We start from the raw sequence: 13982 nt of genomic DNA on the forward strand, positions 1-13982 counted from the left end.
GACATGAGATATGCACAGGGACACAGATCCAAAACATATCAAACACGAAATATAGATTATTAAATTCTGAATCAGCTACAGTAATAATACCATGATCATTTCTCTCTCAGAGAAAACAGACTATAATCTCACCACTAATGATATATATGTATGTATGTATATACACATAAATATCTATCTATCTATAATTTTTTTGGTAGGTGTTTTACCAGGAGCTGTGATGAATTCACACGTTTTCACTTAGGGCTCCTTGATCTCAAGGGCTAGACAGGATTTAGGATATAGTCTATGATCCTGAAAGAGTAATTATGACTGTCCTGTCTATAGACCTCGTCTGTGATGTTTGTCTTAGCCTGCCTGTTGGTCCTAATGTATGTGAGAGACTAGTTTCATGAAAAGCCTTCCTCTTCATTATCCAGACTGTGTACCACATAACTTTATTTCCTAAGCTGTGTAACAAAAGGTTTGAATTACATGATCTCTGAAACCTCTCCATTCTATAATTCTATTAAATAATCTTTCTATGCAATTTTTCTTTTATTCCTTTTTTTTTCAAGATGGGGTCTCACTATGTTATCCAGGCTGGACTCGAACTCCTGAGCTAAAGCAATCCTCCCACCTCAGCCTTCTGAGGAGCTGGAACTATGGGCATGTAGCACGGTGCCTGGCACTTTTTCATTCTTTTGATTGAACATTGTTGCTTCTACAACCCAGAGTGTCTGTCTGGGTAAGTAATAATTCTTGGTTTCACAGCTAGTGAAATTTTCATATAAATTTGCTCTTCTATTTTTTTAAACCTTCCTTGCTATCAATTTTCCATATATTATTATTATTAATTTGAGACAGAGTCTCACTCTGTCACCCAGGCTGGAGTGCAGTGGTGCAATCTCAGCTCACTGCAACCTCCGTCTCCCGGGTTCAAACAATTCTCGTGCCTCAGCCTCCCATGTAGCTGGGATTACAGGTATGTGTCACCACACCTGGCTAAAAATTTTCCGTATATATTATATTTAACACAGAAAAGATTGGGAGAAGACACTAAGTCAGTTTTTCTTTGGGTAGTCCAGTATTACATGATGAGTCAAGTAAAGAAGAAAAGATAAAGGAAAATAAGCTCAAGAGGATTCCAAAGCTTCAGGCCCAGGAAATAGGAGAAATGATAGTGCCAATAAAGCATGAGGAATCTGAACTAATGATGCTGGCACATCTAAATGGAGGTGAGAATCACTGAAAAAAATCAGACTAGAACCCAGGCGAACCATCAAGGTTGGAGACAGAGGAGAGGTGAGCTTCCTGACAGGGAGCATAAAACAAAGGAAAGGAAGAACGTGAGCAACCCAGCCAGGACTAGGCACAGGAGACAAGTGATACCTAGAGTCCCACACACTTACTTGTACTAAACATTAACCTGCATGTCCAGTCCTACCCAGTACCTGAGTCAACCTTGGAAAGATAAGAGAGATATCAGAAATTTCACCCTCACCAGCAAAGGGGGTGGAGGGAAGACTGTTGGGGGAGCTATTAGAGAGCATCTAGAACACCTTGGCTTATCATCTGATTCACCAAAGGTAAGAATCCCAGGCCTCTACAGTCATCAAACTAGTCTTGCCAGGTCACCACCACGGCTGCCCAATCTGTATGCATAGTTTCTATCCCAATTCCTACTTCTCACTCCACTTCCCTTCTGGGGTTGAAATGTTACCCTGATATTACCCTATTCTTAGTCTGCCTGGCTGAAGACCCAGACTGTTACCTTGCCTATATTCAGTCCCTTCTCACTGATGAATGGACTATTGACTAGGGTCCTCCTTCAAGTCAGAGGTCTCCTCTCTCCTCACTCTTCCCTCAGTTTTAAAGACAAATAATGAAAGTCAGAACTTTCTGCAATGAACCACCCTCATCCACATACCTGTGGATCCTTGGCTATCAGCTCCAAGGATGAAGCCACACCCCCCTGGACACTTTGATCTGGCTTACTGGATTTTGGATTGGAGAAATAAGAGAAGGTCCATCCAGGAGAGTGTGCTATCTCTAAAGCCAGAAGAAGAGAAATTTTTAGGGTAAGAGCCAGTTTTCACGCCAATCAGTTCCTGTAGAAAGATGAAAGAGAATGAAGATGGCCACAGATTGTTAGATTTGGTAAGAAGCAGGTCACAGTAACAGTGGAGGGAGATGATTTCAATCATGTGGTAGACCTAGAAGGCAGAATACAGGGAATTTTATTTTGAATGCTTTTTATAGTAGAGAAACTCAGATAAGAAAGATTCAGTCACTATGAAACCTTTATTTAAGTCTGCCTTTAGGTACAAATCACAAAAAATGTTCATAGAAGTTCATCCAGAGAGCTTGTCATCTCCTTCAATTTCCTTCTTCCCGTTCTTTATTCTTCCTTCTCTTTTCTCTTATACATCCTACTTACCCCTTCTCATTTTCAATTACATTCCTAGTCTATCTTAAATAGAGATACAGAAAAAGATCTTACTAAAATAACGAAATCTAAAAATAAATAAATAAAATACATGCCAAGTACTTCTGGGGCCAGAATGAAGAAGGGTGCAAGGGAGACTCCATCATCACCCTTAGAAACATGAAAATCTTAATAAACAATGGTAATAGAAAACTGACCTACACAGGCCGGGCATTGTGGCTCACGCCTGTAATCCCAGCACTTTCGGAGGTCGAGGTGGGTGGATCACCTGAGGTCGGGAGTTCAAGACCAGCCTGACCAACATGGAGAAACCCCGTCTCTACTAAAAATACAAAATTAGCCAGATGTAATAGCTGTAATCCCAGCAACTCAGGGAGGCTGAGGCAGGAGAATCACTTGAACTCAGGAGGAAGAGTTTGCGGTGAGCTGAGATCACGCCATTGCACTCCAGCCTGGGCAACAGAGTAAAACTCTGTCTCAAAAAAAAAAAAAAAAAAAAGAAAAAGAAAATTGACAACAGGTGCTGGAGAGGATGTGGAGAAATAGGAACACTTTTACACTGTTGGTGGGACTGTAAACTAGTTCAACCATTGTGGAAGTCAGTGTGGCGATTCCTCAGGGACCTAGAACTAGAAATACCATTTGACCCAGCCATCCCATTACTGGGTATATGCCCAAAGGAATATAAATCATGCCGCTATAAAGACACATGCACACATATGTTTATTGCATCACTATTCACAATAGCAAAGACTTGGAACCAACCCAAATGTCCAACAATGATAGACCGGATTAAGAAAATGTGGCACATATACACCATGGAATACTATGCAGCCATAAAAAATGATGAGTTCATGTCCTTTGTAGGGACATGGATGAGATTGGAAATCATCATTCTCAGTAAACTATCGCAAGGACAAAAAAACCAAACACCGCATGTTCTCACTCATAGGTGGGAATTGAACAATGAGAACACGTGGACACAGGAAGGGGAACATCACACTCTGGAGAATGTTGTGGGGTGGGGGGAGGGGGGAAGGATAGCATTAGGAGATATACCTAATGCTAAATGACGAGTTAATGGGTGCAGCACACCAGCATGGCACATGTATACATATGTAACTAACCTGCACATTGGGCACATGTACCCTAAAACTTAAAGTATAATAATAATAAAATAAAATAAATTAAAAAAAAAAAAAGAAAAAGAAAATTGACCTAAACACACACAAAAAAACTGACCCTTTTTTGCTCTCAGCTGTCCAGTAGGCAGAAATGGAAAGAGCAGACAGGAAGGATAGAGGTGAGTCATAGAGGGCGGGAATACACAATCATTAAGTGAAAGCCATTATCCTCAGGAAGGCTCCAGAGAAGAGAGTAGGTGGCAAGAGCAGCAGAATTATCTGAAAAGCCTCTGGAATACCCACTTCCTCTTTGCTATGGAGAAACAGGGCATGGCATGCCCCACTTCTTTCTGTTTCAAATGCATTCCCCCTTCTCTAATGGGTGAGACTCTAGGCAGCCTTTAAGATCCAGTTCAAAATACACCCATCGGATGACACCTTTCCTAACAGAAGCCTTCCTGAGCAGAGTTCACTGCTCTATCCTCTGGGCTCTCGCAAGACTCGTCCATACATGTAAGTCCACTCAAAATTTGTATTTGTTTATGTCTATCTGCTGGTCAGGAGCTCTCTGACCTCTGTATCTTGGTGCCTCCTACAGTGCCTGCCACACAGTAGGTAATTAATAACTGTGTGAGGGAGAAAGAAGAGAAAGAAAAAAGAGAGGCAGTGGGGAGAGCAGGATGGGGGAAGAGAGAAAGAGGAAGCACCTGACTACCTTCCCTGGCCAAGATAAAGGGAAATGGATTTAAAAATAACTCTGGGGGAAAGGAACTGAAAGGGGGAAATGACTTTTCTGAGTCTTGTCTGCTTCTCACTCTTCTCTCCCCCCACATCCTCTCACCACTTGAGACCTCAGGCAACAACGGTCTCATTTTCACTCCTGATTCCTCAGTTTGCCCAAAAGAAAGAAGGCACACAGGCTTCTGACTTCTTCCACCCCATCTCCTTAAACCTCAGATCATCTGTTTTTCCACTGTGGGCCTCTCCCTCCTTGGCCTCTGCCCCCATCATCTTTCCCACACAACACTCCTGCCACATGGCCCTGGGGGGCCCGTCAGGCCTCTCAGGCCCCTGTGCCGTGCATGTCCATGTGGGAGCTTCTGCCTCAGAAGGAAACCAAGAGGTTCTCAGGGGCAGCCTGTGGTGTCTCGCTGGGAAACGCTAGACCAGGCCTACAAAGTTACCCGGGAGAGAATATTGTTAAGAAGGTTTAGGCATCCCAGGGGTGGGAGAGGAGAAAGGAGCAAGTTCCAGGAAAAAAAGGGCTGAACGATTTACAGTCCTTACTCCTACACTCCTCAAACTCTTTCATGGATGGCCATTCCACATTTTTCCCATGATCCATGGGTCAGAACCATTTTTCCAACTGTCCTCCCATGGTCTCTACACTTTGGCTACTGAAGCTTCTTAACTCTCTTTCAAACTAGATGCCCTTTCCCTAAGAATCCCTAAGCCTTGTGGAGTTGCTCCCGAGTCTCCTTTCCTCACCTGGGTATTCAGCTGCCTCCCCTTTCCCTATATGTTTTCCCTAGGAGTTCTGGAACCACCATTTCCTCAACGGAGATCATACGTACAAAAGCAGTTTACAATGCACAGTGTGAGAATAAAATACTACCAAGAATAAAGCCTCTTTTCACTCCCCACAATCTCTGTCCTTCTCTCAGGCTATTTCTTATGCCCTCCTCTCCCCATACACTGTTGCTCCCTCTTCACCCAGCAGGTTTGGTTTGGTGTGGGGTGGGAACCAAAGCTATGTGCTGCACAGCGGGCAGTGTCAGGATGCAGGCAGGCATCTCAGCCCGAGGCCTTGGCAGAGTTCCCAGGCAGAGCCATCGGCCCAGGCCAGGACAGTAGGCATGGATAAGGTGAGAGAGGGCATAAGTACGGTGACTGTAGCCCCCGAGCACCAGTAGCTCCCCCTGCAGCACAGCACTTGCAGCCCCCACATGGGGGGAGGGTAGGGGTGCCAGGTGAGTCCAGCTATCAGTCCTTAGTTCATAGGCCTCAAAGCTTAGCAGGTCCTCAGTCTCACCCAGCCCACCTGCCACATACAACCTCCCACCCAATGCAGCCATGACATGGCCAGCCCGAGGTACCCCCATAGGGCTCAGAAACGTCCCTGGCTTCTCAAGTTTGGGGTCATAGTGCATCAGTGAGGCCAGGTATTGGCCAGTCCCACCACAGCCACCGCTCACGTACAACTGGCCCTCCAAAATCGCAGCTGCGTGGGCAAAACATGGTGCTGGAAGTGCAGGTGCTGGCCTAAGGGAGAACAGGACACAAGATAAGGCAACTAGCATCTTCAACTCTCCTTCTATTCCAAGTCTCCTAATCTCTCCCAGATGCCCCCTTGCCTGCTTACCTCCAGACATTGAGCTCAGGGTTGTAGGTCTCCACAGAGTCCAGGGCAACATCATTGTGTCTTCCACCCAGGGCATAAAGTTTTCCATCCAGTGCCACCAAGGAGAAAAGGCTTCGAGCCTGGGACAAAGGAGCCATCTCCTCCCAGTCCTCTTGACTGGGCTCCCACCTGGACACAGTAGGACAAGAGATTGGAAGAGGGACTCTGGGCATCCGTGGTTGGCTAGGCCAGCAATTTCTCTCCCTGCCCACCTTAGGGCCTGCCACACCCTGCCCACTCCTAGAAGCTTATACCTGAGAGTTGAAGCCAGGGTGTTGGAGTGACTGTAGAAATCTTGTCCCCCACACACATAGAGTTCACTTCCTGCCAGGCTTGCAGCCCCATGCCGGAAGCGTCCGGGGGCAGGCAGGGCAGGCAGCTGCCCCCACTCAACAGTTCGTACCAGTCCCACGCCACAGCGGAAGGCCCGGGCCCACCACACTGCTCGGGATGGTTGTCTTAGGGCCATGTCTGGTCTGAGCCCATCCCCGCCAATCACTACCAGTGCCCGGTCAGGCTCCCTCCGTCTCTCTTGGCCTGGAACATCAGCCTCTACCATCAGCTGGTGCAACAGATCTGGGGTCAGGGGTGGAAGTAGCCCGGCTGCCCGCACCCTCCGCAACTCCCTGGTGGACATGCGGCCAAAGCGGACACATCGCAGCAGGGCCTTGGCCTCTGACTCCTGGGTCTCGGGGTTGGCAGCCAGCCAACACCGTGCAGCCACAAAGGCCTCAAACTCCTCCTGCACATGGAGCTCATCACTATCCAGGAGCTCAGCCAAGCAGGCAGCTGGTAAAGAAGGGAAAGCAGGACACAAGGCTACAGCAGGCAGGTGGGTGAGGAGGTAGTGACGGGCTTTGCTCCAGAGCCTCTCCAACCCAGGGGCTTCCGCCATGGGGAACAGGGCCAGGCAACGGGCAGGGCTGAGGCCCCGTGCCAAGCCTTTCTGACACAAATCCAAGCAGGAAGAGCTCTGGTACTGCAGAGCAGCCTGGGCAGCTCTCAGTAGCCCTGGCCACCTTGCCCGCACAACTCCGGAGTAAGCAAAAGAGACGAGGAGTCGCAGGTCCTGGGTGGAGATCGTCCGCAGAGATACCTCTGTGCCCTGGGATTCCCTCATCCCGCTCAGGAGCATGGCCCCAAAGAACTCACTGCCACAGGCCAGGGCGGCTCGGTGCACTGCAGGAGGGGAGAAGGAATAGAGGAGGACTCAAAGTATTGCAAGACCGATAGGCATTACCCCAACTTGGTACTCTAAGTTTGGCCAAACTCTAAGTTTGGCCCTCCAAGCCACCCACTGCTACAGACCAAACTGTGGTGTGCATCAGAATACCATGGGGTAGTTGTTAAAATGCAGGTTTCAGCAGTCCACTCCCAGAGATTCTGATTCAGCAGTTCTGGACGGAGACCCTAGAAATTTGTATTGTAACACTTCAAGTAACCCTATGTGATTCTCATGTTAGTGGCCTGAAGACACTTAGATAAACATTGCTTTAGTCTTTTTGGTCAGATGAGTCAGAAAAAGAGTCTTCATGGATCAGGTTGAGAGGAAAGCATTTGCTAAGAGGAGCACAAAATAAATGGGAAATGACCAACAAGCAACTTATATAGGTCTGTCTATATCGTGACAAAATAAAATTCTTTACAATCAAGAGCCAAGACTGTCAGCCATTCTGTTAGATTTTGCTGGGAAAGTGGCACCACTCGGGAATGGCTGTAATCCAACCTCATCGGATTGCTGTCTCCTCTTGCCTAAGATTTAGTGTTTAATGTTTTCCGTGCGTCCCAGCTTTTCTCTGCATAACCCTCTCCTGTTCTTGGTGTAATTTGTAGAATCATGAGATCTGAAACTTGAGAACTTCAAAATAATCTAATTCAATTATTCCCTTTAAAATAAGGAAACTGGTTGGGTGTCGTGGCACACACCTGTAATCCCAGCACTTTGGGAGGCTGAGGTGGGTAGGATCACTTGAGGTCAGGAGTTCAAGGCCAGCCTGGCCAACATGGTGAAACTCCATCTCTACCAAAAATACAAACATTAGCCGGGCATGGTGGCAGGCGCCTGTAATCCCAGCTACTTGGAGACTGAGGCAGGAGAATAGCTTGAACCTGGGAGGCGAGGGTTGCAATGAGCTGAGACTGCGCCGCTGCACCCAGCCTGGGTGACAGAGCGAGACTCCATCTCAAAATAAATAAATAAATAAAATGTGGAAACTGAGTTGGGTCCCAAAGAAAGCATGTGATTTATTTTTCATTTCCATGCAGTGGCTGTGTGGGCAGATCATCTCCATCCACTGCCACTGATGTCAGGCTGCAATAAGCATGCTTGTGTACCAATACCTTGGTTATCTGCATGGTCCTCATGACAATGAAACTGTCCTATTAACCTACGCTGTTAAACAATTAGACCTCATACTCAGCATCACTTATGGATTATTCTGGCCAAAATATTTAACTTGAATCTGTTCAACTCTTTAGATCTAAAGTCAAGTTTATAGGAAGTTGAAAGGCTAAAGGAACAATTTAGAGGGGAAAAACCACACAAATCAAGAAAATGGAGCATTTTATAGGATAACCAATTTTTTTTTTTTTGAGATAGGGTCTTACTCTGTCACCCTGCCTGGAGTGCAGTGGTACAATCTCGGCTCACTGCAACCTCCACCCTCCAGCTTCATGTGATTCTCGTGCCTCAGCTTCCAGATTAGCTGGGACTACAGGTGCACGCTACCATGCCTGGCTAATTTTTGTATTTTTAGTAGAGACGGTTTCGCCATGTTGGACAGGCTAACCTTGAACTCCTGGCCTCAAGTGATCTGCCTGCCTCGGCCTCCCAAAGTGTTGGGATTACAGGCGTGAGCCACTATGCCTGGCCCAGGGTAACCAATCTTACATGTTATTGTCTTTACCAATCAATATATAAAGTAATAAAAAAAAAAAAGGAGGAAGGACTGTACTAGATTAAAGGAAGCTTAAGAGACATGCAACTGAGAATAGCATAGTCCTTGATTAATTCCTGGGTTGAACAAACTCACTTTAAAAAATGTTTTTTGGACAACTGGGAAAATATAAATGTGGACTAGGTGATATTAAAAAATTACTGGCCAGGCGCGGTGGCTCATGCCTGTAAACCCAGCATTTTGGGAGGCTAAGGCAGGTGGATCACCTGAGGTCAGGAGTTCAAGACCAGACCAGCCAACATGGTGAAACCCCATCTCTACAAAAAATACAAAAATTAGCTGGGTGTGGTGGTGCACGCCTGTAATCCCAGTTACTCGGGAGGCTGAGGCAGGAGAATCACTTGAACCTGGGAGGTGAAGGCTGCAGTGAGCCGAGATCGTGCCATTGTACTCCAGCCTGGGTGACAGAACAAGATTCCATCTCAAAAAAAAGAAAGAAAGAAAGAAAGAAAGAAAGAAAGAAAGAAAGAAAGAAAGAAAGAAAGAAAGAGAGAAATTACTATTAATTTTGTCGTGCATGATAAAGGTATTATGGTTATGAGAAAATGTCCTCTTTGTTTTATTTTTTCCTTTCACACCTAGTCCCACAGAATTGTCTTCTTTTAAAAAGATACATACCCAAATACTTATGAGTAAAATGTCATGAATTTCCTTTAAACTTCAGTAAAAAATAAAATGAACAGATGAAATAAATATAGTAAAATATTAGTTGTTAAATCTGGGTGATGGGTGTTGTTTGAATGTTCATCTTAATATTCTTGGTTTTGTAAAATGCTTCATAATAAAAAGGTGGGGGGTAATGCTCCTAGAAGTCCTTTTAGGCAGGTCACAGAGGGCCAAGCTGTTTAAGAACTCCATGCTGCTTTGACCAACTGAGGCATGCGTGCCTTTCCCAAAGGGCAGGTGTTGTTCATATGACTTTCCACTGTCTTTTAAGCAGTAGGTAGTGGCCTGGTGCTTCCCAAGTAGTAAACATCAATGACAGATTTCAAATATATATTGTCTGAGAAAATCTGCATTCCTCAAAACAAGCTAAGCCATCTCAGCTCCCATATCATCAATCAACCTATAGTTCAGAGCCAACCCTGAAAGGGCTCACAGCCACTTGTATTCACCTCTTACTCATTACTATACCCTAGGATTTTAAGTGACAGATTCGCAACCATTAAGTAGGAATATTTCCTAGGGAAATAAAAGCAGTGATATGAGTATGCTTAAATTCAAAAGCCTAGTGAGAATTTTATGATTATGAAAAATTTAAATCCCCTCTCCATCTAGTGCTATCATAAATGAAAATAGACTTTTGGAGTGGTTTTCCTTCTAGGAGTCCCAGAAGCACTTCAGTTCCCAGTCACTCCTCTAATGGGCAGTAGCTATGTGACTTTGGACAAGTCTTGGATTCTGATTTCGTCATCATCAAAGTGTAACAGCCCAACTAGATAATCTCTAAACTAATCCCTTGTAATTTTAAACTTTCAATGTGTCCACATGGCCTAGTGGAAGGAGACTGGACTAGTGATGTAGGCTTGTATCCTGGGGTTGTCCCAAGTCAACATCTCCAAATTTAATGTTCCTTATGTGCACCTGTAGATAATGATATTGACCTCACCAGCTTTCAGTAAAATTTAAAAAGAGATGTCATGTGTAAAAATTTCAGGTACCCAGTGCCTCACTAAATGTTAGTAGACTCCGAATAATACTCAACTTATGCAACCCTACTTAGCTTTCCTGGTGATGAGCAGAGTTAACTTCAAAGTGCCATGGCCAGGCCGGGTGCAGTGACTCATGCCTGTAATCCCAGCATGAGACAGGTGGATCACCTGAGGTTAAGAGTTCAAGACAAGCCTGGCCAACCTGGTGAAACCCCATCTCTACTAAAAAAATACCAAAAAAATTAGCCAGGCATGGTGGCAGGTGCCTGTAATCCCAGCTACTCGGGAGGCTGAGGCAGGACAATCACTTGAACCCAGGAGGTGCAGGTTGCAGTGAGCCAAGATTGTGCCACTGCACTCCAGCCTGGGCAACAGAGTGAGATGCTGTCTCAGAAAAAAAAAAAAAAAGTGCCACGGCCTGGTAACCTTAAACAGTACCAGACCTTGCTCATTAGCTGCAGGGCCCATAAGTCAGCCATGGCGTCAAGCACACCAAGGTGAAAGCACACATTGAGTTTTCCACCATGTTCCCCTGGCTTTCCTGTGTCCTGAATGGAGGATGCCAAGAAGGGCCTTTTGTTAATTTCTGCTTGAGTCAATCCACTTTCTGCTTGTTCTACTGCCATGGATTGTACCCTTAGCTCTAGCCAGCTGGCTGGAGATTCCTTGTTACTGGACACAGGAAAAGCCAGACAGAGGGTCAGTTTAAATCTGTCAGAGCGCCTAGAAAACAACTCGACTGCGCATGCCCGGCTCTCCGTGGGGCAGGAGAGGCACCAAAGGCCACCCCAGGGAAATTCTGACAGCAGCAGGGATCAAAACCATCATGGTGGGGATAAAACCACCTGCTGCTTGCACACACCATTCCGTTAGCATATGCACCTGCAGTAATTTAATGCCCCACAGGCCCTCACCCGACAGCTGGCAGCCGCCTGCCTCCAGCTTCAAGTCACACCCGACGCCCTCTCGGTAGAGGAGCTCGATTCCGCGCAGGTTCTCCCTCAGCTCCTCTGCCTGGCTGGGCTTCTTTACATCTTCCCTGGCATTTCCAGCCCTCTCGCATGTCTGCTGGGCAGCAGCCTTCACCCGGGGCGCTCCCAGCGCCTCTGCTGCGGCCAGCACATCCCCCTGCGAGGCGGGGCCCAGCACCCCCTCATAGGCAAAGGTCAGCACGGCCTCCCAGCCCCCTGGGGACACCTCGAGGCTGAAGGGGGGCCGCGGACCTCCGCCGCCCAGCAGCCTGTCTCGGAAGAGGCTGCTGATTGCGGCCAGGATCACCCGATGCACCCCGTATACCCGCCCCGCGACTGACACCTCTTCGTCCAGCAACAGTCTCTGCTCCCGCAGCCGCTGGGCCTCGGCGAAAAACTGGCTCGGATGCTCCTCGCTGCGCAGCCACTCGGGCTCTGCCGCATCTTCATCTTCTTCCTCTTCCTCTTCTTCCTCTAGGGACAAGGCTGGAAAGGGAAGGTTCCTTGGGACCAGGGGCCTGGAACCAGGCTCCTCCAGAGGAAAGGAAGGCAATCTGGGATCCTCGTCGGGGGAGGGAGGCCAGGAAGGGGTTCTCTGGGCGTGCACAAGGAGTCCAAGGCAGTCCCTCTGGACGGGATGAGAGACACTCTCCAGCTCAGGGGGATAATGTGGGGTGTCCGAGACGCTCATGCCGAGGTTTGCTGGATAGCTGCAGGTGAGCAGAGGCAAGACAGCCTGGCGTCAGAGCTGGGCCCAAAGAGGCCAGAGCAACCATGTCTCCAGCCAGTTGAAATGTCAGTCTCTCCCCTGCTCCAACACCCTCCTCCTACCCTCAGCCACATCCCAGCACTGGAGTATCTGGGATATACAGGACAGCTATAGGGTGCACGCGGTGCAGTGAAACATGCAAGAAGCCCTGTAAAGATCCGGTAACCGGGACCACACCCCTCCCCTATTGCCCCCATCCTTTTAGTCACCCTCAGGAGACACCAGCGTTCCGCTTGCCCTCTCACTTAAGCGCCCGCTGTGCTTGGGGCTGCGTGGCAGAGGGAACTTGCCCACATGGCATCCCAGTCAGCCAGTGGCCCCATGGGGCTAATTATAGCCAGTCCTGGCTGGCTAGGCACTTGGCACCTGGTGTCCTAACTCTGACACCCAATCCCCTGGGCTCCCTCCCAGACTGACATCCCCACCCTTCCACCTGTAGGTCATACAGGAGTGTGCTGAGCTAGGCAAATTAGGAAACCAAGGAGAATGAGGGGATCTGGTGGAATGAGCCCAAGGCCAGAAGGGCTGGGCCACTAGAGTGGGCTGGAAGGATCAGGCAAAGAGTCTGGACCAGGCTTTGGCTGTTGACTTTTCTGTGCATGATAAAGCTGGGACCCCGCCGGGCATGGTGGTTCTTGCCTGTAATCCTAGCACTTTGGGAGGCCAAGGTGGGTGAGTCACTGGAGCCCAGGAATTTGAGACCAGCCTGGGTAATATGATGAAACTCCATATTTTTTATATCTACCAAAAATTACAAAAATTAGCTGGACGTGGTGTCTCATGCCTGTAGTCATAGCACTGTGGGAGGCCAAGGCGGATGGATCACTTGAGGCCAGCAGTTTGAGACCAAACTGGGCAACATGGTGAAACCCCATCTCTACAAAAAAATACAAAAATGAGCCAGGCATGGTGGGGCACATCTTTAGTCCCAGCTTCTTAGGAGGCTGAGGTGGGAGGATCACTTGAGCCCAGGAGGCAGAGGTTGCAGTGAGCTGAGGTCGCACCACACACTCCAGCTTGGGTGACAGAGCAAAACCCTGTCTCAAAAAACAAAAAAGCTGGGACCCAGGAGCGAATATAGCCCAGCTTTATTCATGGAGGGCAGAAGAGTGGGGAAAGTGAAGGGCCAGGGGGCAGGGCTACGGACCTAGGTGGCTCACCCCACACAGGGATTACTATCTGTCCAGAGGTGGGGTCCAGGGTAAGAGCCTGAAATCCAACCCTGTGTCTTTGGAAAAGTGTGGGGAATTCTAACTCTCATCTTGGCACTGGGATAAGAACCAGACAGTGGAAGGTGTGCTTGATCTGCATGCTGTGAGGACCAGAGTCCTGGACTAGATGGGCTATGGACATGCAAGTATTCCATTTGAGCCAGACGGTAACAGCCACTCCTTCTCCCTCCAGGACAACACTTCCTTTCTCATCCTGAGGCCAAGTGCTAGACTAAAGCCCCTAAAAGCCAGGCAATCACTTTGTGCCGCAGTTTTGAGTGTCATCTTGCAGAAAGGATTTAGGGAAAGGTGCAGTGACACACTTCCTCTCCCTTCTCTGGGGGAGGTAGGACAGGCCAAGGACTCCTACTTCCTGGCCTATAAAATGTCTGGTCCAGGCTGGATAGGTTGACTCCACAGGCAGACTTAATAAGGGAAGGAGGAACGATTGCTCCTTGTGATTCAGATG

General features: G+C 47.8%; 1 protein-coding gene across 3 annotated transcripts, besides 2 other annotated features; it reads right to left on the minus strand.

Moving 5' to 3' along the window:
- Positions 1-2264: 2264 nt before the first annotated feature.
- KLHL33 (kelch like family member 33) lies at positions 2265-12579 on the minus strand. Of its 3 annotated transcripts, none has more exons than NM_001365790.2 (5): positions 12512-12579; positions 11477-12243; positions 6208-7132; positions 5915-6082; positions 2265-5814 (listed from the first exon to the last, which is right to left on the minus strand). In NM_001365790.2, exons 2-5 carry the CDS (start codon positions 12222-12224, stop codon positions 5262-5264), a joined length of 2394 nt encoding a protein of 797 aa, NP_001352719.1. In that variant the 5' UTR covers positions 12225-12243; positions 12512-12579; the 3' UTR covers positions 2265-5261. The 3 variants fall into 3 exon arrangements, with proteins under 3 accessions (NP_001352719.1, XP_011534752.1, NP_001103467.2); XM_011536450.3 differs by having other exon boundaries at positions 12365-12579; NM_001109997.3 differs by lacking the exon at positions 12512-12579 and having other exon boundaries at positions 2268-5814; positions 11877-12243.
- Positions 5407-6039: an enhancer, noted in NCBI's record as "H3K4me1 hESC enhancer chr14:20897153-20897785 (GRCh37/hg19 assembly coordinates)". NCBI's record gives its function as "activates a minimal SCP1, AML or CMV promoter by ChIP-STARR-seq in primed H9 embryonic stem cells {active_cell/tissue: H9 hESC(primed)}" and the evidence as "EXISTENCE:reporter gene assay evidence [ECO:0000049][PMID:30033119]".
- Positions 12126-13035: an enhancer, noted in NCBI's record as "H3K27ac-H3K4me1 hESC enhancer chr14:20903872-20904781 (GRCh37/hg19 assembly coordinates)". NCBI's record gives its function as "activates a minimal SCP1, AML or CMV promoter by ChIP-STARR-seq in naive H9 embryonic stem cells {active_cell/tissue: H9 hESC(naive)}" and the evidence as "EXISTENCE:reporter gene assay evidence [ECO:0000049][PMID:30033119]".

Source organism: Homo sapiens, chromosome 14 (genome assembly GCF_000001405.40).
Source record: "Homo sapiens chromosome 14, GRCh38.p14 Primary Assembly".
NCBI lineage: Eukaryota > Metazoa > Chordata > Mammalia > Primates > Hominidae > Homo > Homo sapiens.